Raw genomic sequence first — 21,748 nt, 5'->3', positions numbered from 1 at the left:
GATGAACATGGCAAAACCCCATCTCTACTAAAAATACAAAAATTAGCCGGGCATGGTGGCAGGCGCCTGTAATCCCAACTACTCGGGAGGCTGAGGCAGGAGAATTGCTTGAACCTGGGAGGTGGAGGTTGCAGTGAGCCGAGATCATGCCATTGCACTCCAGCGTGGGTGACAGAGCAATACTCTGTCACAAACAAACAAACAAACAAACACCCGAGACTGGGTAATTTATAAAGAAAAGAGATTTAGTTGGCTTAGGGTTCTGCTGGCTGTACAGAAAATGTAGAGGCTGCTTCTGGGGAGGCCTCAGGGAACTTATAATCATGGCAGAAGGCAAAGGGAAAGCAGGCATGTCTTACATGGCTAGAGCAGGAGGAAGAGAGAGTGGGCCGGGGATGCCACACACCTCTAAACAAACAGATTTCAGGATACCTCACTCACTATCACCAGAACAGCTCCAAGGGGATGGTGCTACACCATTCATGAAAAACTGCCCCCATGTCCCAATCACCTCCCACCAGGCCCCATCTCCAACACTGGGGATTACAATTGAACATGAGATTTGGGTGGGAAATACAGATTCAAACCATATCAATAATAATATTTCAATAATAATTCAATAGATACCTTTCACTGAGATTTGACCAAGGCCAGGTGAGGCTTTACTCACATCCTCACTTTTCATCCTCACACGACACAGTCAGGAAGAAAATGTCAGCATCCCTATTCACAGAGGAAGAAGTTATGGCTCAGGGTCACCTGGTGTTCTGGAGGTCACACAGAGCAGGATGCAGGCTGGGACTATGCGCAGCTCTGTAATGACAGCTCAGAAAGCCTCTAACACAAACTTGACCTCATTCTGCCTCTTTAGCATCACCAGATGCCTAGAAATAGGGCACAGCTCTCCAGCTAGGACATTTCTATACAGGACCTGTAGTATCTATACAAAAGGGATCCTAGGTGAGAGTCTACATGTAAAGGTTAGTGGGGCTTACATTTTGGCCCAACTCCAGAAGAAACTTTCTAAACTAGAATTGTTTGAAGTGGAACCACTCCCAGCAGTGTTAGAAGCTTTGCACCATCCAGCTAGACTGTGCAACATCCACCAGGCATTGGAACAGGTCCTGACAGAGTAGTACCCACTCTCCACAGATCTCACTTCCAGGTCTCCATTCTCCCATTGTCCTGAGGTCCCCATTTCTCTCAGAGCTTCTGTATCTTGAGTATTCGATAAACATTGCTCGAACCCCTCTTAGTTGTCAGGTACTGTACCAGGTGCCAGGGGTGCAGACATGGATAAAAGAGAGTTATCCTCAGGATGGTCCACTGAGGCAGAGAGATTCATTAACATTATTTTATTATAATCTGGTAAATGTTAAGATGTGCACTGGCTCCTATAGGATCCCAGAGAAGGGCCCCGGTCCTAACAGGAGGATGTCTAGAAAAGATGCCTTTTGAGATGAATGCCTCTGGAAGGATGAGGAGATGTAAGTCAGGCAAAGAAAGGCCATAGTGATGGGGCTGGGGGTGATGGAGAACCCTTGCCACTCTAAGAACCAAAGAGTAGTGACTGGACGCAGCGGTTCATGCCTGTAATCCCAGCGCTTTGGGAGGCTGAGGTGGGCAGATCACCTGAGGTCAAGAGTTCGAGATCAGCCTGGCCAACACGATGAAACCCTGTCTCTACTAAAAATACAAAAATAAGCCGGGCGTGGTGGTGGGTGCCTGTAATTCCAGCTACTCGGGAGGCTGAGACAGGAGAATCACTTGAACCTCAGAGGCGGAGGTTGGAGTGAGCCAAGATCGTGCCACTGCACTCCAGCCTGGGCAACAAGAGTGAAACTCCATCTCAAAAAAAAAAAAAAAAAAAAAAGAACAAAAAAACAGAACCAATGAGCATCTTTGAATCCCAGCATAGACTGCTTCCCTATCCCTCAGCTTTTCCCCTTTCCCTTCTCCCTGGGACTTTTCCCAATCTTTTCCCGGGATAGAAAGCCTTGGAGTTCTCCCATTACCTGTAATTCTTACCTGTCTCCAGAAAGTCATTTATCTCTTGACCTCTGTTTTATTTTATTTATTATTAATTTCTTTTTTTGTTTTGTTTTGTTTTTTAAACTGAGTCTCGCATTGTTGCCCAGCTGGAAGTAGAGTGGCATGATCTTGGCTCACTGCAACCTCTACCTCCTGGGTTCAAGCGATCCTGCCTCAGCGTCCCTAGTAGCTGGGACTATAGGCGTGTGCCACCACGCCTGGCTAATTTTTGTATTTTTAGTAGAGATGGGGTTTTACTATGTTGGCCAGGCTGGTCTTGAACTCCTGACCTCAGGTGATCTGCCGGCCTTGGCCTCCCAAAGTGCTGGGATTACAGGCATGAGCCACCATGCCCCACCTTGACCTCTGTTTTAATTCTGATTATGTGCTGGAGTCTAAAAGTTCATTGTAAGGGAAACGCTCAGAGATAGTAACTCAGGAAAGGAGTGGAGAAGGCTCCAGACCCAGCATCTGCAGTGTACACTGGCCTGCGGGGAGAAGAGTGAGTGAACTGTGCATGGTGCACAGCACCACTTGAGGCCCAGAAACCCCTTGGCTGCCTAAACACCACTTAGCTCCTCCCTGGTGGCAACCAGGTGTGTGGAAAGAGCTTCCACTCCAGAAAGACCTGGAGTTAAATTCTGGCCCCATTTCCTAGCTTGTTCGCAGAAAGTGACTTGACTTGTCTGAGTCTCAGTTTCCTTATCTGTAAAATTGGTAGGAAATAAGTGCCCTTCAGGGTTGCTCTAGAATTAAACAAGATGGCCCATGGAAAGAACTGCCGGGGAGGTGCCCAATCAATGTCGCTTTCGTCTAGATTTCTTTGTGTGAAAGAACTGACTAGAAGAAAATACCCCACGGCAATCAATACTTTTTCCCAAAGCATTAGAATAAATGTAGAAATTTTTCACTTAAAGTCTTATTTGTGGTGGCCAGGCGCAATGGCTCACGCCTGTAATCCCAGCACTTTAGGAGGCTGATGCGGGCGGACCACTTGAGGTCAGGAGTTCGAGACCAGCCTGGCCAACATGGTGACACCCCATTTCTACGAAAAACACAAGAATTAGCCAGGCGTGGTGATGCACACCTGTAATCCCAGCTACTGAGGACGCTGAGGCAGGAGAATCACTTGAACCCGAGAGGCAGAGGTTGCAGTGAGCCAAGATTGCACCATTGCACTCCAGCCAGGGCAACAGAGTGAGACGCCGTCTCAAATAATAAAATAAAATCTTATTTGTGGAAAACGTAAGCCTAGGGATATTCCTAGGGTCAGAGAGTGGGCAGATTTAAAATTTTTTTAAAAAGCTGTAATATTTTCTACAGATGGGATCACACTATGTTGCCCAGGCTGGTCTTAAACTCCTGGCGTCAGGTGATCCTCCCACTTTGGCCTCCCAAAGTGCTGGGATTACAGGCGTGAGCCACCATGCCTGACCCAAAGAGTGGGTGGATTTTGGAGGCAACTGGACTTGAGGATCTTTTTCCAGCAAATACTAGAACAGATCATCTGAGAGATGAATGTTGGCCCTCATCCCACTACACCTTCTGAGGGATATTCTGCAAGCACCCACATGTCTGACTCTGTCTCACAGTCCTTATATTATTGAGAGTCCTTTCTGTTATCTTACTTAAAGTTTCTTGTGCTTCAGCATAAGTCATGCTCTCTTTTCATAGCAAGGGAGCACTGCTACAAAATGGACATTTTAACTACATAGTAACATCCTGTTTCATCTGAAGCTCTGTCGCTCCTTCATTTGCCTGGTTTAGAAGTTATGATACTGTAATGTGGAATGCTGGGCCTAGGCCAGACCTCTTCATTCACATGAGGAAACTGAGGCTCAGAGAAGTCCATTACCTAGCTATGATTCTACAGCCAGTATGGCACAAGAGCTGAGTTAGAACTCAAGTTTTCTGAGTCCAAATTTAGAGTTTTTTTTCTCTTCCCTTTCACCGAAGGGCTCCTTTTACTGGTCACATGTCTGGAATGACCCAGGACCTTTCATATGTCTCTAAGAGCCAATGTCAGATGTTTTATCCTGGGAGTCAGAAGACCCAAAAGTCCCAGTCTTAAGCCTCTTCAGAATTGCTCCTCTGGGCTGGGGCGTGGTGGCTCATGCCTGTAATCCTATTTTGGTAAGTCAAGGCTGGGGGATTGCTTGAAGCCAGGACTTTGAGACAAGCCTGGGCAACAGAGGGAAACCCAGTCTCTACCAAAAAAAAAAAAGGATTTTTTCCAAGGAGAATGACAGCAGAGCTTTTGTTTATGTGCTTTTTAGGGATAACAGATACCATTGGTGAAGCAGGAATGTCTTTTGCAAACTGGGACCTTTGCATGAGAAGATTCAATTAGAGATAGATAGATAGATAGATATAAAAATGTAATAATATGTATTGTAATTATATATGTATAAATTATGTAATATAATAACATATATTTTACATTTTTGAATATATGTATTTTGGGGATAAGGTAAGAATCATAACTTCCACCGATTTTTTTTTTTTTTGAGATGGAGTCTCCCTCTGTCGGCCAGGTTGGAGTACAGTGGCACAATCTCAGCTCACTGCAACCTCCACCTCCCGGGTTCAAGCGATTCTCCTGCCTCAGCCTCTTGAGTAGCTGGAATTACAGGCGCCCACCATCATGCCCAGCTAATTTTTGTATTTTTAATAGAGACAGTGTTTCACCACGTTGGTCAGGCTGGCCTTGAACTGCTGACCTCAGGTGATCCACCTGCCTTGGCCTCCCAAAGTGCTGGGATAACAGGCATGAGCCACCGTGCCCAGCCACTTCCACTGATTTTTTAAAAAGGGGTCTAGGACGTGAAAAAGTCTGAATCATTCATTCATTATTCATTCATTCAACAATTTTTTTTTGAATGCTTATTTTATGGAAGGCACTCTACTAGGGCCAGGTAATGTAATGGAAATATGGAAATAAAATACACATGTTCCTACCCTCATAGCACTTACATTCTAGTGAGAGAACTAAATGATAAACAATAAACAAATAACACACAAAATGTCACCTTAGGACAGACTGCAAAAAAAAAAAATAAGCTAAGAATTACTGATCTGACTATACTTTGTATTTCTCTCTGGATTTTATATTTTTCACTTTCCTTCTGAGAAAGTCAAATTTCTCTAAAAACATACCCAATTTAACTTCTCAGTTATAATTTAAAGGATAGTTAAGTCTCTAAGTCCTCCAAACCTCCACTTCAATGGTTTTTTTTGTTTGTTTGTTTGTTTGTTTTGAGACAGAGTCTCATTCTGTTGCCCAGGCTGGAGTGCAGTGGCATCATGTCGGCTCACTGCAACCTCCGTCTCCTGGGTTCAAGCAATTCTCCTGCCTCAGCCTCACAAGTAGCTGGGATTACAGGCACCCACCACGATGCCCAGCTAATTTTTGTATTTTTAGTAGAGATGGGGGTTTCACCATGTTGGCCAGGCTGGTCTTGAACTCCTGACCTCAGGTGATCTGCCCACCTCTGCCTCCCAAAGTGTTGGGATTACAGGCGTGAGCCGCCACACCTGGCAATGGGGTTGTTTTATCCACCAGGCTATTGAATAGATGAATGCTGCTTTCCTCCCTGCCTTGCAGCCAGGCAGGCAGGATCATTCCAGGTCTCTAGAAATGACAGGTCTGTTTGCCCAGCATGAGCAATGTGGTTTCCCATTGCAGAATCTCCCTCCCGGTAGATTGCAGCTGCTGCTTGTGCAAGACTGAATGATCTGAAAGACTCAGAAAAACAGACCACCAAGATGTACCAGTGAATTTTTAAGATTTGTGGGCCGGGCGCGGTGGCTCACGCCTGTAATCCCAGCACTTTGGGAGGCCGAGGCGGGCGAATCACGAGGTCAGGAGATCGAGACCATCCCGGCTAAAACGGTGAAACCCCGTCTCTACTAAAAATACAAAAAATTAGCCGGGCGTAGTGGCGGGCGCCTGTAGTCCCAGCTACCTGGGAGGCTGAGGCAGGAGAATGGCATGAACCCGGGAGGCGGAGCTTGCAGTGAGCCGAGATCCCGCCACTGCACTCCAGCCTGGGCGACAGAGCGAGACTCCGCCTCAAAAAAAAAAAAAAAAAAAAAAAGATTTGTGAACTGTCAGGATATTGTTCAAAATTGTATCAGAGATTAAATCTTTGCTTATTGCTAAGTGAATTTTTCATATGTGCATATCTGTTTTATTCAAATGCAAGTGATTTACACAAACCCCCATCTGCAATCCTTAAGACACTCACAGAATGATGCAGTGTTAGGTAACTAGAATTGTGTCTATTTTTTTGTTGTTGTTGCCTCCCCTGCCATACCTTTTTTTTGAGACGGAGTCTGTCTGTCACCAGGTTGGAGTGCAGTGGTGCAATCTCGGCTCACTGCAGCCCCTGCCATCCAGGTTCTACAGGTTCTCGTGCCTCAGCCTCCCGAGTAGCTGGGACTATAGGCGCACACCACCATGCCTGGCTAATTTTTGTATTTTTAGTAGAGATGGTGTTTCACCATGTTGGCAGGCTGTTCTCGAACTCGTGACCTCAAGTGATCCATTCGCCTCAGCCTCCCAAAGTGCTGGGATTACAGGTGTGAGCCACTGCACCTGGCCATCGTACCTGTTTTCGAACTGGTTGTTCTAAATTCATCTATGTGAGTGGGCAGTAAAAAGAAGGGGTGACCTGTCAAAAGTCTTACAACTCAAAGAAAACAAAAAATAAATAAAACAAAGAAAATAAAGTCCTACAACTCAATGGCAAAGGTGAAATTCAAATCTAAGACATGATTTCTAGATCTCTGCTCTCCAGGCACGAGATTAGATCCGACAGCCTGACTCAGATTACACCTGTTATGTGCATACGATATTATCAGAATGCTGTGGGGCTCCAGCCTATTAGAATTTTCTGTTTTAGCTGGGAGTGGAGACTCACGCCCCTCAGCATTTTCGAGGCTGAGGTGGGAGGATCTCTTGAGCCTAGGTAGTCTAGGGTGCAGTGAACTATATGACAGTGCCACTATACTCCAGCTTGGGTGACAGAATGGGACCCAGTCTCTAAAAAAAAAAAATTAAATTTAAAATCAAATTTTCTGTCCGGTGCTGTGGCTGCTCACGCCTGTAATCCCAGCACTTTGGGAGGCCACAGTGACAGGATCGCTTGAGCCCAGGAGTACAAGACCAGCCTGGGCAGCCTAGTGAGACCCCATCTCTCCCCGCCAAAAATAAAATATTTGCTGGGCATGGGAATGTGTACCTGTAGTCCTAGCTACTTAAGAGGCTGAGGAGGGAGGATCGCTTGAGTCTGGGAGTTCGAGGCTACAGTGAGTTGTGATCACACCACTGCACTCTAGCCTGGGCGACAGAGTGAGATCCTGTCTCTTTGGTTTGTTGTTATTGTTGTTGTTTTCTTTTGAGACAGAGTCTCTTTGTCAACACTGTCTCTTAAAAAAAATTTTTTTTCTTGTCCTTACTAGTTTTAGGGAAGTTGTCACGCCATTGACTGAAAGGCCAGTTCTGATTTAGAAAAAAATAAACCTTTTCAATTAAATATGAAGATGTAGTTGTAACACTTTGGTCCCAAAACACAAGTAAATGACACTTAAAAGATGTTGGTGAAGGGCATGGACATCACTTGGAAAGTGAGTCATGTAAGGTTAGCAATGAGATACCATCAGGTTCCCAGGTGAGTGTCTGAAGTCCCACTGGTTGTCCAAAGAGGGTCTGAATTGGTTTGAACTCAGCTGTTGACTTCTCTTTTTCATAACCTTTCTCCCTACATCCATCTTCACTGAGATTCTCCCTGCCATTTCTTAATATATTGGATTTGATGAGGAGATGACATTCCCTTCCTCTGAGAGTCTCTTTGGAGACAGGCTTCAGGTCATGGTATTCCAGCATTTAGGCTACATGGCAGCCCTCCAGTGAAGGCATTGGAAAGTGTCAGAAAAGGAAATGGGCCTGAACTGGAGAGACAGTCCAGCTTCCTTCCCAAGGAGCCATCGGATATTTATAGAGAGCCAGGCCTAGGATGTATGCCCATTGCTGAGAAGGTTTTGTGGCCCGATCTGGTATACATTAGAGGCTCTATCTTTCCATCTCCTCAGTTCATGAAGCGTTGATTCCTGGCCTAGGAGAGACTGAAAGCCAAACCAAACAGGGGATTTTTCTTCCTTCATAGTTATTGTGAGCCAGCCAATTCCAGGATTTAAGCTCAGGCTTGTTAGGCTTTAGTCCTTCTGGGAAATGCCATCTGTTCAGAGAATGGCTTTCTGGGCAGCACAAGTGCTATTAATTCTATTCTAGTGTAGTTGCTGAATGGCAAGGCTCATATTATCCTTCACCCTGGGGGCAGGGAGAAAGGGTTAGGATCAGGCATTTGCCACCATTAAATCCACCCTCTTTTTTGTACGGTCTGCCTGTTGCCCCAGTTCACTGCCACACCCTCACCCCACACATACACAACAGACCTCTCCTTTAGTTTTCAAGCCACTAGGCAATTGAAATGTTTGTGTGAATTTTCACATAAAGTCTAGTCTTTGTGTCAAATGTGCAATAAGCCTCAACATTTGCATAGAGCAAACAAGGAAGTCTTGTTAGGAAATTTGTTCCTTAGGAGCTTATGTCTTAAATTGGACTGGTGCCTTTTGTTGTCACAGTTGTTTTTATAATGACATGCACATAGGTTTGCCTTTCTGAATTCTTATGTTGAATCTACTGTTGGTTGGCACCTGCCACTAGCATAAATTTCTACTCTTTCAATCAGTGGGACAAATTCACATGCCAGTCGAGGCTGATTCACCTGTTTAGGGCTGTGAGTGATTTGAAGAGGACTACCTTCTCAGCACTTCTTTGGCCCAGAGTCACAGGAACCCTCTTCTCAAGAATGTGGTCCTGGTAAGAGAACTTGCAAAATACTTACAGATTTCAGGAGTCCACAGTCCCAGGCAGAAGGAGAAGAGATATATCTGCTGGTTTGAAATCCTGGAGACAAATTTTTGTCCAATGCCCAGGAAAATTGGTTTTCTGACCAAAGACTCAGGGAGACTGGAAACTCTTGGGATGTGGATGACAGAGGAAGGGGTTAGGGATGGAGAAGGGAGTAGAGATGCATGTGTTCGGGACAGAATCAAAGACAGCATTCTTGATTTCTCTCTCCTTCTTACTCTTCATAATCTATTAGCAGGCCCTGTCAGTCCCACTTTCAGATCATGTCCTTGATGTCATTCACATCTCCCTACCTTCACTATCATCACCCTAGCCAAGCCTCTGCCATCTCTCACCTGGTCAACCCCAATACCTCCTCTGACTAGTTTCTGTGTATCTTCTCTTGCTGCATTCTAATTCATTCTCCATGTAGAAGACAGGGAAATCTTTTGCAATTGCAAATTAGATCACAAGGCTTTCCTGCTGGCATCCCTTGGGCCACTCTCCTTTGTTCCTGGAATTCCATCAAGCCACCTACCATGGCCTACAGAGTCCCCGGTGTTCTGGCTCCTGCTCACCTCTTTTAAGTCTTCTCATTCCTCTCTCCCACAGCCACACTGCTCCAGTCACATGGCCTCCACTCTATTTCTGGCCAAGCATTTCGGTTTTTTGTTTGTCGTCTTCTTTTTCTTCTTCTCCTTCTCCTTCTTCTCCTTCTCCTTCTCCTTTCTTTTCCTCTTCTTCTTCTTCCTCTTCTTCTTCTTCTTCTTCTTCTTCTTCTTCTTCTTCTTCTTCTTCTTCTTCTTCTTCTTCTTCTTCTTCTTTTCTTCTTCTTTTCTTCTTCTTTTCTTCTTCTTTTCTTCTTCTTCTTCTTTTCTTCTTCTTCTTTCTTCTTCTTTTCTTCTTCCTCTTCCTCTTCTTCTTCCTCTTCTTCCTCCTCTTCCTCTACCTCTTCTTCTTCTCTTCTTCTGCTTCTGCTTCTTTCTTTCTTTTTTTAATAGGGAGTCACTCTGTTGCCTAGGCTGGAGTGCAGTGCAGTGTCCCAATCACAGCTTACAGCAGCCTCAACCTCCCAGGCTCAAGAGATCCTGCCACCTCAGCCTCCTGAGTAGCTGGGACCACAGGTGTGTACCATCACACCCGGCTAATTTTAAAATTTTTTCTAGAGACAGGGTTTCACCATGTTACCCAGGCTGGTCTTGAACTCCTGACTTCAAGCAATCCACCTGCCTGGGCCTCCCAAAGTTCTGGGATTATAGGCATGAGCTACTATGCCCAGCCTAATATGGATCATTTTAAGCCCTCCTTAATGTGCATTAAATACTGTACTTGTGTTCGGGCATGGTGGTTCATACCTGTAATCCCAGCACTTTGGGAGGCTGAGGCAGGAGGATTGCTTGAGCCCAGGAGTTCGAGACCAGCCTAGGCAACATGGGGAAACCCTGTCTCTGCCAAAAATACAAAAAAAAAAAAAAATTAGCCAGGCATGGTGGCATGCGCCTGTAGTCCCACCTACTTGGGAGGATGGTTTGAACCTGGGAGGTGGAGGTTGTGGTCAACCGAGATGGCACCACTGCACTCCAGTCTGGGTGACAGAGCCAAACTCTGTCTCAAAAAAAAAAAAAAAACAACTATACTTGTTTACTGAATGATTGTTTATTTGCCTCCACTTACCCTTTGAAATTTACCAAAGATAAGTGACTAGGATTATCAACCATTCTTTATTTCCCTGTTCCATCTGTTTTGAGTTAGGAGAAAGACAAAGCAAAATGCAATCTCACCAACAGCAATATCAACAAAAGAAATCCCTTGAGCCATCTAGCCCCTAGCAGCTAGACAAGGAAGGCAAATTGGGATTAGGAAGAAGTGGGTAACCCGGAACGGCCACAGTAGGGATAAGCAGCTTCAGCAGCCAGAGATTTTCCCTTACTCTTAGGAGGTGACATAAGCAACTTTCCCAGAACCGTCTTGACACAAGCAGTAAATTAAGTAAACAAGGCAGAAGGTCGCCAGAACCTGGTCTCACCCAGTCCTGCTGCGACTCTCTGGCATCATGTGGACTAGGAAGCTGGAGGGGAAGTCTTCTCATCCACCAGTCCACCTAAAAACAAACCTAAAAACCTTTCTGCTTGTGTGGAGGAGCAATTGCAGAACTTGTAGTCAAAGCATGGTGTTGTAAGGGAAATCACTGTGGGGACTTGAAACACCCTAATGATTTTTTTCCTAGCTCTCCTTTTAAGGGCTTCTGGAGACAGAAGGGGATTAAAACTTCAAATGAGGGAAAAGTAAAAACTCAGTTAACTCATTAGCTGGGCTCACCTAATTAATCTTGGTAGCCTGGGGCACAATTCAACCCAACAGAATTTACTTATCTATGGAGACTTTAATAAGCTCTGAAGCCAGAGGCCCTGCCCCCATTGCTGTGGGATGGGAGAGTGGGTGAGGGGAGAAGGAGATAAGGCTTGGAGGTGACTAGTTCTGGGGACAAAAGAGCCCTAGGCAGGAGGACCTGGCCCATGGCTTTGCTCCCTTCACTGGATCTGAGTCTTCCATTCTAACCTACTTTCAGCTCCACTTACTCATTCAGCCATTCATTCATTCCACAAATGTTAAGTTCCTGCTATGCCCCAGGCTTGCTAGGGCTGTAAATTGACTACAGTGTTAAACAAGATATGCAAGATCCCCAACTTCTGGAAATTTACATTCTAGTAGAAGGGCAGACAATTGAAAAATAAACAAGAGCCAGACATGGTGGTTGGTGCCTGTAGTCACAGCTACTTGGGAGGCTGAGGTGGGAGGATCACTTGAGCCCAGGAGTTCAAGACCAGCTTGGGCAACACAGCAAGACCCAGTCTCTACAAAAAATAAATAAATAAATAATACAAAACAAACGAAGCACAGGTAAGCTGAGAAGTTCTGTGGAACAATTAAAGTGCGTACCCACTCAGTAAAGACCTCTTTCAGGAAGTGACATTAAATCCAGTATCTGGAAGGAAGGCTTCCTCATTGCTTCATTTCATGCTTTGGAGATTTTATGAGTGCATTTCTCCATTCATCAAACATCTAGTGGTAGTATATAGATGAAATACTTTTTAAAAAAATTTAGTGAGCACCTTTTACGGCCAAACCCTTTGCTTGCTGGGCACTGCCAAAGGAAAGATAGACAAGTTAGGGATCTCCCCTAGAAGAATTTATAATTGAGTGGCAAAGCCTGACAAGTCAACAAGAAAACACTTACAAAGGATGATTTGGCACAGCTGAGCCAGATGGTCTCTAAGGTCATTCCTTTGTCTAAACATTCTATTGTCTAATAAGTTCCTACTGCATGTCTAGTACTTTGGGGATGCCCATTCTCTCCAAGGCTCTCATAGCCTAACTGTAGAGAAAAGGCTTACATGTATGACATATTAAGATTGTAGAAACCAGCACCTGTGGTAAATGATTCCTATGTTCTCACTTTGGCACCTATCTACCCTAGAGACCACTGAGGCTTTTAAGATCAATTAGGCCTAGCTCTTCCTCCTTAACCATTTTTTGGATTTCATCTAGTTTATGGCAAAATATACGCACATTGCGTTTTTGTTTTTTTTTTCCAGGGACCTCTGAGAGGGTCTGGAATTAGGGTTCAGGTACCATCCATCTGTTACGTGCTTTGAAGATGCCACTCCATCTGTGGGATTCAATTTACATAAACTGAAGACTATTCTTCTGAGTTGAAGTGAGGAGAGGCATCAATCACACTGGAAAATTATTTGATCTCCTGGAAGCAAAAAGTCCACCATGAAGTTGTTCTTGCCATGGACTTCTAGAGGAGCTGACTGTCCTTTGGGAAGCTACAAATACAGCCTTAAAATCTGTTAGCAGGGAAGAGAGGCTTTTTCTGAGTGATCAGGTAGGTGAATCCTCCTTTTCCTCCTTTTTTCTCTTTTCCATAGCCATCTGCAATCCCAACCACCCCAATCCCCTGATATTTTGCTGAAATCGCTTCCACTAAATTCCTGATGACCTCCAAATCCACTTGTAACTATGGAGCATCCGCATCTCTTGAAATTCTGTTTTTCTTTGGCTTTTGGGGACACCTCTCTTCCTTGGTTCTTGTTCTGTATTTCTGGCTGATTATCTTTTAATCTTCACCTCCTTTGGCTGCCCTTTGAAATGGGTATTCCTGGAAGTCCTTAGTTTCCTCCTTTACTCACTCTATTCACAGTTTTGGGGCATTGATAACCAAAATCATGACTTCAGTTTCCATGTAGACATGGATTTGAAAACGGTGGGATTAGCTCTCCAAAGTGCATATGAGGTCCTTATCTGTCATCTGATTTTCAGACACACGTATTAAACTGCCTGCTAGACTTTCATTGGGTGAATTTAATTCCTAAACCAGCTGTCCTTTGTTCCAGTCTTAGAGACTGGTACTATCAAAAACCTAGGGGCTATTTAGACTTCTGCTCTCTGTTATATCATTTGTTCAGTGGAAATATATTGATCTTTTACTATATTCTAGGCACTGGGCCATGTGCTATAGGTACAGCCTCTGCCCCAAAGAGACTCATAATCCAGAAGACAGGTAAACAATCAGAGAAACACACTGTATGATGTAGTCAGAGGGATAAGTACATGAATAGAAGCACGTACTAGATGCAAGACATAGAGAAAGCACAGCAGAAGGACTGACCAGGAGATAGAATAGGAAGAAAGTCTTCCTTCAGAAGCTGATGCCTAGGATGGGTTGTGAAACACAGATGGGACCAGGTGCAGAGGTGCATGCCTATAGTCCCAGCTATTTGGGAGGCTGAGGTAGGAGGATTGCTTGAGCCCAAGAGTTAGAGCATGTAATGTGCAATGATGGTGCCTGCGAATGGCCATTGTACTCCAGGGTGGGCAACATAGCCAGACACCATCTCATAAAAAACAAACCAACAAACAAAACAAAGGGAATGGAATTCCCATGACAAGCAGGGGAGGTGTGGTGTTTTAGGCATTTCAGACTTCATGTAAAAGGTATGGGTGCGTGAAACCAAATAACATTTAACTAAAAAATATGGTCGGGCGCGGTGGCTCACACCTGTAATCCCAGCACTTTGGGAGGCCAAGGTGGGCGTATCACGAGGTCAGGAGATCGAGACCATCCTGGCTAACACGGTGAAACCCCGTCTCTACTAAAAACACAAAAAATTAGCCCGGCGTGGTGGCGGGTGCCTGTGGTCCCAGCTACTTGGGAGGCTGAGGCAGGAGAATGGTGCGAACCCGGGAGGCAGAGTTTGCAGTGAGCGGAGATCGTGCCACTGCACTCCAGCCTGGGCGACAGAGCGAGACTCCGTCTCAAAAAAAAAAAAAAAAAAAAAAAAAAACACAAACAAACAAAAAAAATGAGCAGTTTGATATTGATGGAGTATAAAGTTTAAGGCAAGGGGAGATTTGACAGGAGGTGAGCCCAAAGTAGTAGGTAGAGGCCAAATCATAAAGGGTCTGTATAATAATAAGAGCAATAATAGCTACAATTGGCTGGGCTCTGGCTCATATCTGTAATCCCAGCACTTTGGGGGGCTGAGGTGGGCAGATCACTTGAGGCCAGGAGTTCGAGACCAGCCTGGCCAACATGGTAAAACCCCGTCTCTACTGAAAATACAAAAATTAGCCAGGCATGGTGGTGCATGCCTGTAATCCCAACTACTTGGGAGACTGAGGCAGGAAAATTGCTTGAGCCCAGGAGACAGAGGTTACAGTGAGCTGAGATCGCGCCACTGCACTCTAGCCTGGGCAACACAGTGAGTGAGACTCCATCTCAAAAAAAAAAAAAATAGTAATATTAATAATAATAGGTACAATTTACAAAGTACACTTTACCTACAGAACCACTAGTGCTCAATCACCCTGTATTATTATTCACACTTTACAGCAAGGGACCTAAGAAGCTGCATATCCGATAGTTGTTTAGCTGAAATCCACATCCAGGATTCTTTGATTCCAAATTGTAGGTGCTGGCCAAGAGCTTTGGCTTATGCTTATAATCCTAGCACTTTGGGAGACCAAGGAAGGAGGATCACTTGAGCTCAGGACTTTGAGACCAGCCTGGGCGACATAGTGAGACCTCATCTCTGCAAAACAATAAAAACAAATTAGCTGAGCATAGTGGCACACACATGTAGTCCCAGCTACTCAGGAGGCTGAGGTGGAAGGTTCCCTTGAACTCAGGAGTTCAAGGCTGCAGTGAGCTATGATGGTGCCATTGCACTCCAGCCTGGGTGGCAGAGTGAGCTTTTCTCCCTCTTTCTGTCTCTCTCTATATATACATATACATATATATATGTGTGTGTGTATGTATGTGTGTATATATGTATATATATGTTTGTGTGTGTATAGAGATATATATATAACCAAAGCTTAAGCTCTTTGCTGTCTACCATGCCTCACTTGCACGATGCCCAAATGTCCTTCCCTCATGGGGTTTATAATCTAGTGTAGGAAACATTAGCATCCACATGTCTGTCCTTTTGTGTGAGTCACTACTTCAGTTGGAGGAACTGGCACTGAAGCTATAAGGATGGAGGAGGATTACAAAAGCCAACCATGGCAAACCCATCCTTTTTGACAGTGGTTGGTTTAAAAACCAAGGCTTAGTCTATCAACTGATTAAAAGATATATAAAATGTGGTATATTCATACAGTAGAATATTATTCAACAAGAAAAAGGAATAAAATACTGATACATGCAATAACATGGATGAACCTTGGAAACATTATGCAAAGTGACAGAAGCCAGTCACTAAGGACCTCATATTGTATAGTTACATTTATATAAAATGTCCGCAATAGACAAATCTGTAGAGGCAGAAAGTAGAGTAGTGGCTGCCTAGGGCTGAGGGGAATGGGGGAGTTGGAGGATGGTGGCTAAAGGGTAGGAAGTTTATTTTGGAGATAATGAAAATATTCTAAAAGTGATCGTGGTGATGGATACACAACTCTGTGAATATACTAAAAGCTATTGAATTGAATACTTCAAATGTTGAGTTGTATGGCATGCGAATCGTATTTCAATAAAGCTGTTTTAAAAAAGGCTAAAGTTAACAGTCCCGTAGAGGAAAAAGTATTTAGTGCAGGGTGAAGAAGGCTGGATGCCATGAATTGGGAGGGGAAGGGAGATGACCTCTGCTGTTTGTGAGGTCAGAAACTAGGGTGAGGCTGCCTTGGCCACAGATGGTGGTGGCGTATGGTTCTGAGGTAAGTAGACACGTTTTTAGTTCCCTAATAGTTCTTTCCCCTGGCTTCCCAGGCTTCCTACCCTGCTTCTTCACCACCTCCCACTTTGCAGATCATCTCTAGCATCATCCAAATCTGACTTAGGCAGTTCCCTACTTAAAATCCTCCTGGGGACTCTTGCTGCTTTCGGGATAAGGCCCAAATCTTCACACTCCTTTGCCGGCCTATGAAGCGCCTTGTGGTGTTGCCCTCCCACGCCTCTGCTTTTGTCTCCCACATGTATCCACAGCCACACTGGTTTGTTGTCTCACACCTCTGCTTCTCCCAGGGTGCTGAAATTCCTGCCTGGAATGCCCTCCCCCTTGCCTGACTTCCTAATCCACCCACCATTCAGTGTGGCTCAAATATCACCTCCTCCAGGAAGATTTGGACTTGTCCAGGCTGGGCTAAAGGTCGTCCCTCTTTTGTGTTCCTAGCACGCTTTTATGTACATTCTGGCTGTCTAATCTATGCACTTGTTATTACCCGCTTCTAATTGTGTTAGTTTCAACTCTTAGTCTGAATTCTTACTACTTGACCTTGGCCAAGTTACTTAACCTCTCAATATACTGATCAAAAAGGGGATTAAAAACAATATCTTCTTCCTAAATGTGCTGTGAAGATTAAAGTTATTAAAAATATGAAAAAATGTGTTAAAGCCATATATAATATACTGTATATATTATATATTAAAAATATATGTTCAAATGCTTTGCACAATGTCTTGCACAGTGTAAGCACTACATAAATGAAGATTTTATTCTGGCTGTTATTATTGATCATTCATACTAAACTATAAGCCCCTTGAGAGTAGTGACATACTTATCTAGTCTACTGCCTGACATCTGGTATACTAGTATACTGCCTGACATCTGGTAAGCATTCAGTATCTACCTGGGTCTATGTCTCTCCCATGTTTTCCAGGCTGGCTTTGCCACTTTAAGTATTCTGTATTCACAAAGACTTGGTAAAACTATAACTCAACTCAATTTTTTTTTTTTTTTTTTTGCTTTTTCTTAAGTAATCCTCCCTCCTCAGCCTCCACATAGCTGGGATTACAAGTGTGTGCCACCCATGCCTAACTCTACTCTTGGACTTTTTGATTTTCAAAGAATGTGGTAGTGTGGGGGAGGAGGAATTTGCATGGGGAAAAAATCCAGCTTTCTGAGACAGTCCCAGAAGAGATGAAGAAAGATGAGTTTTTTTACTTTGCCTAGGTGCCTGGAGGCTGGGAGGCTTTATCTGAACAAGAATATCTGCCTCATCCTTGAAGACAGAGAGGGAATCATTCCTTTCCATGTTTTTATTGGAACATTTGGAAATCCTGAGAACCGGGAGTTCATTTGTCAGATAAAGGCTCAGGCGAATGGGGAGCTAGACTAGATGGAGTAATTATTGTGGGTATATTTTCCAAACTCCAAAGAGGACAAACTACGGCTCAAAAGAATTGTTTTTATCCTGATTTGTGATTTTATTTATATAGAAAGTTGTGCAAAGATATAAAACATTGAAACTGCATGAATGAATTATCTTTATTAAAGATAGACAAAAGAAACAAGTGTAGTCAAAAATACTTCAGTGTTTGTAATGCTTTATGATAAAGAAGGTTTAATTCACCAGGCACATTGGCTCGCATCTGTCACAAATAAATAAATAAATAAATATATAAAGGCCTGTTGTGGTGGCTCACGCCTGTAATCCTAGCACTTTTGAGAGGCTGAGGCGGGAGGATGACTTGAGCTCAGGAGCTCGAGACCAGCCTGGACAACATAGTGAGACTTCCATCTCTAAAATAATAAAAATAGGCCAGGAGTGATGGCTCATACCTGTAATTGCAGCACTTTGGGAGGCCGAGGCAGGTGGATCACTTGAGGTCAGGAGTTCAAGACCAGCCTGGCCAACAGGGTGAAACCCCATCTCTACTGAAAACACAAAAAATTAGCCGGATGTGGTGGTGCGTGCCTGTAATCCGTTACTCGGGAGGCTGAGGCAGGAGAATTGCTTGAACCCAGGAGGTGGAGGTTGCAGTGAGCCAAGATTGTGCCACTGCACTCCGGCCTGGGCGACAGAGTGAGACTCCATCTCAGAATAAATAAATACAGAAAGGAAGGTTTAATTCAAGTTTTATTGCCCACTTTCACACTGAGCTATCTTTTTTTTTTCTTACTAATTTCCAAGAGTTCTTTAAGAATATTGGTTATGATTCCAAATACATTATCTCACTTAGTGGCTTGCTTATTTATTTATTTATTGAGACAGTGTCTCACTCTCATCCAGGCTGGAGTGCAGTGGCGCGATCTCAGTTCACTGCAACCTCCGCCTCCCGGGCTTAAGCAATCCTCCCGCCTCAGCCTCCCAAGTAGCTGGGACTACAGGAACATGCCACCAGGCCTGGCTAATTTTTTATTTTATTTTTTGTAGAGATGGGGTCTCACTATATTGCCCAGTCTGGTCTCGCACTCCTAGGCTCAAGCGATCCATCTACCTTGGCTTTCCAAAGCTAGGATTACAGGTGTGAGCCACCGCACCCAGCCTTTTTTATTCTTTTAATGGTGTCCTTTGATTAACAGAATATTTACTTATTTTTTGTTTGTTTGTTTGAGACAGGGTTTTACTCTGTCACCCAGGCTGGAGTGCAATGGTATGATCTTGGCTCACTGCAGCCTTACCTCCTGGGTTCAAGTGTTCCTTCCACCTCAGCCTCCGAATTAGCTGGGACTACAGGTGCACTCTGCTACACCAGGCTAATTTTTAATTTTTTTGTAGAGACGGGGTTTTGCCATGCTGCCCAGGCTGGTCTCAAACCCCTGGACTCAGGCAATTCTCCTGTGTCAACCTCCCAAAGTGCTGGGATTACAGGTGTGAGCCACTGTGCCTGGCTCAGAATGTTTACATTTTAATGGAAGTCTACATTATCACTCTTTTCTTTATGGATAGGTATATGTGTGTGTGTGTGTGTGTGTGTGTGTGTTCTATTTAAGAAGTGTTTTCCAGGTGCAGTGGCATCTGCCTGTAGTCCCAGCAACTCTGGAGGTTGAGACAGGAGGATTGATAGAGCCTAGAGGTTTAAGGCTGTAGTGTGCTATGATTACACCTGTGTATAGCCACTGCACTCCAGCCTAGGGAACATAGTGAGATCTCATTGCTTAAAAGAAAAAAAAGAAATCTTTGCCTGTCCCAAGGTAATGATGATAGTCTATGTTTTCTTCTCAAAGCTTTATTAATAAAGAGAATGTCTAGATGGCTAATAAACATATGAAAAAATGCTCAACATCATTATTTATTAGGAAAATACAAAATACAAATGAAAACTATAAGAAGGTACTTCTACACCAGAACAGTTAAAAAGTAAATAATACAGGCCGGGCACGTGGATCACGCCTGTAATCATAGCACTTTGGGAGGCCGAGGCAGGAGGATCACGAGGTCAGGAGTTCGAGACCAGCCTGGCCAATATAGTGAAACCCCGTCTCTACTAAAAATACAAAAATTAGCTGGGTGTGGTGGCATGTGCCTGTAGTTCCAGCTACTTGGGTGGCTGAGGTGGGAGAACTGCTTGAACCCAGGAGGCAGAGGTTGCAGTGAGCTGAGACCATGCCATTGCGCTCTAGCCTAGGTGACAGAGCGAGACTCCATCTCAAAAAAAAAAAAAGAAAGAAAGAAAAAGTAAATAATACAACAAAAACTTAGAATATCAAGAGTTGAAAAGGTTGTAGAGCAATGGAACTCTCATATTCTGCTGGTAGGTGGGTAAATTGGCACAGTAGATTACTGCAATCACTTTGAAAACTTTTTGGGCCATTGCACTCCAGCCCGGGCAACAGTGCAGGAGTCTGTCTCAAAAAAAAAAAATTAAAAAAAAAGAAAACCTTTTGGGCAATATCTACCAAAGCTGAACATAAGCCTACCCTATGACTTAGCAATTTCATAGATAGGCTTATAACCAACAGAAATGTGTAAATGTATGCACCACAACACAAAACTTTTCACAGAAGTTGTACTCCCAGTAGCCCCAAATTGGAAACAATCCACAAGTCCATCAATAGTAGCATGGTGTGGCAGATATAGTCAATGGAATACTATACAGTAATGAAAAAGACCAAATTATTATTAAATGCAAAAGTATATATGAATCTAACCCATATAATTTTGAACAAAAATAGCTAGACACAAAAAAGGACATATTTTATGATTGTATTTATATGAAGTTCAAAAAAGAAAAGCCCAAGTATGGTGAAAGAATTTAGAATGCTGACTACCTTTGGTGGGAGTGGGGCCAGAGGTTCATCGCAATGGGGCAGAAGGCAGTGTATGAGGTGTAGATAATGTATATATTGATCTGAATGGCAGCTTTATGGTTGTATATATTTGTAAAAGTATATGAAGTATCATTCAAAGATTTGGGCAATTCAATGAAAAAGTTCAGGGAAAAAATGTTAGTTAATAAAATATTTGAATTGTAATTCTCACCATTTGTTTACAGTAGAAGTTGGTAGAGTATTGTTTTACTCATATTTGCGTGTTTGATGAACTCAGCTTACTAAGTCATTGTGATGTTTGCTAACTTAACTCTTTCAGATATTGTTTGTAGGAATATTAGAATTTCTGTGAAATGTCAATGATTTATGGGATCTAGAATATTTAAATTTGATATAGTCCCCAAAAATACAAGGAGTTAGGAGCTCTCTAAGATCCCTTCTGGTACTAAGATATAATGACCTGTCTGAGATCAAATATATATTATTAGTGACATATATTAATGTAATAATTTGATTATAAAAGTAATGAGATATAAAAACCAGTTTGAAGTCATGTATAGTAATCATAATAGTATCATCCTTTATTATAAATGCACATTTTGAGTTTTGGCTTCAGGACTGTTGACTAGATTTATATTGACTGCATTTTTCTTCAGAAAATGTTCCAAGTATTTGGATCTTATATTTTTGGAAGAGATTTTTCATATATTGTATGATCAGCTACTTACAACATATTGAATGAATGAATGAACAAAAGAACATGTTATTCATTTTTTGATGCTTGGTGCTAGGGTCGTAGTAGTAAAAAGGCAGACCAGCTCCCTGCCCTGATGGATGCTTAATATTCTAGTAGGAGAGACTGACCTTAAACAACTGACACAAGGCATTTGAGTGCTAGGAAATAAACATATAATCTGATCTAGGGGTCTAACCAAGCCTAGGGAATTGAAAAGAGTTCCCTGAAGAAGCTGGCATCAAAACTGAGAGGAGTTCAAGGTTGCCAGATAAAGTGTGAAAACTGAGGCCTCTAGGGAGAGGATTAGTACATTTCAAAGCCACAAGGAGAGAGAACAGCATGTTGCTTTGGAAGAAAAAAATTCCACTTGTTTGGACAAGAGAATTGGAGGAGAGATCTAGCAGCTATTAGATGTGGAAGGTGCTGTTTGTTCCTACTAAGGATACTGAACTTAATTCTAGGGCAAGGTGAAACCACACTGAAGGTTTTAAGCAAATGTATTAATCATATTTGTATTTTAAGAAATCAAACTAGAGTAGGAAAACTCTCTCTTTGGTAGAACCTGGGGAT

General features: G+C 43.3%; 1 long non-coding RNA gene across 1 annotated transcript in view; it reads left to right on the top strand.

Annotated features, from left to right (window-relative positions):
• The first annotated feature begins 12,264 nt into the window (after positions 1 to 12,264).
• The window catches only part of LINC01344 (long intergenic non-protein coding RNA 1344), a 110,117-nt gene continuing 100,633 nt past the window's right edge, over positions 12,265 to 21,748 (top strand). The window contains exons 1-2 of the long non-coding RNA NR_104175.1: positions 12,265 to 12,378; positions 12,541 to 12,836. This is a non-coding gene — a long non-coding RNA (long intergenic non-protein coding RNA 1344). The remainder of the gene's footprint in view (positions 12,379 to 12,540; positions 12,837 to 21,748) is intronic.

The sequence above is a fragment of the Homo sapiens genome, chromosome 1 (assembly GCF_000001405.40).
Source record: "Homo sapiens chromosome 1, GRCh38.p14 Primary Assembly".
In the NCBI taxonomy this organism is placed as follows: domain Eukaryota; kingdom Metazoa; phylum Chordata; class Mammalia; order Primates; family Hominidae; genus Homo; species Homo sapiens.
Note: the sequence above shows the minus strand (reverse complement) of the source record. Positions and strands in the feature narration are given on the sequence as shown.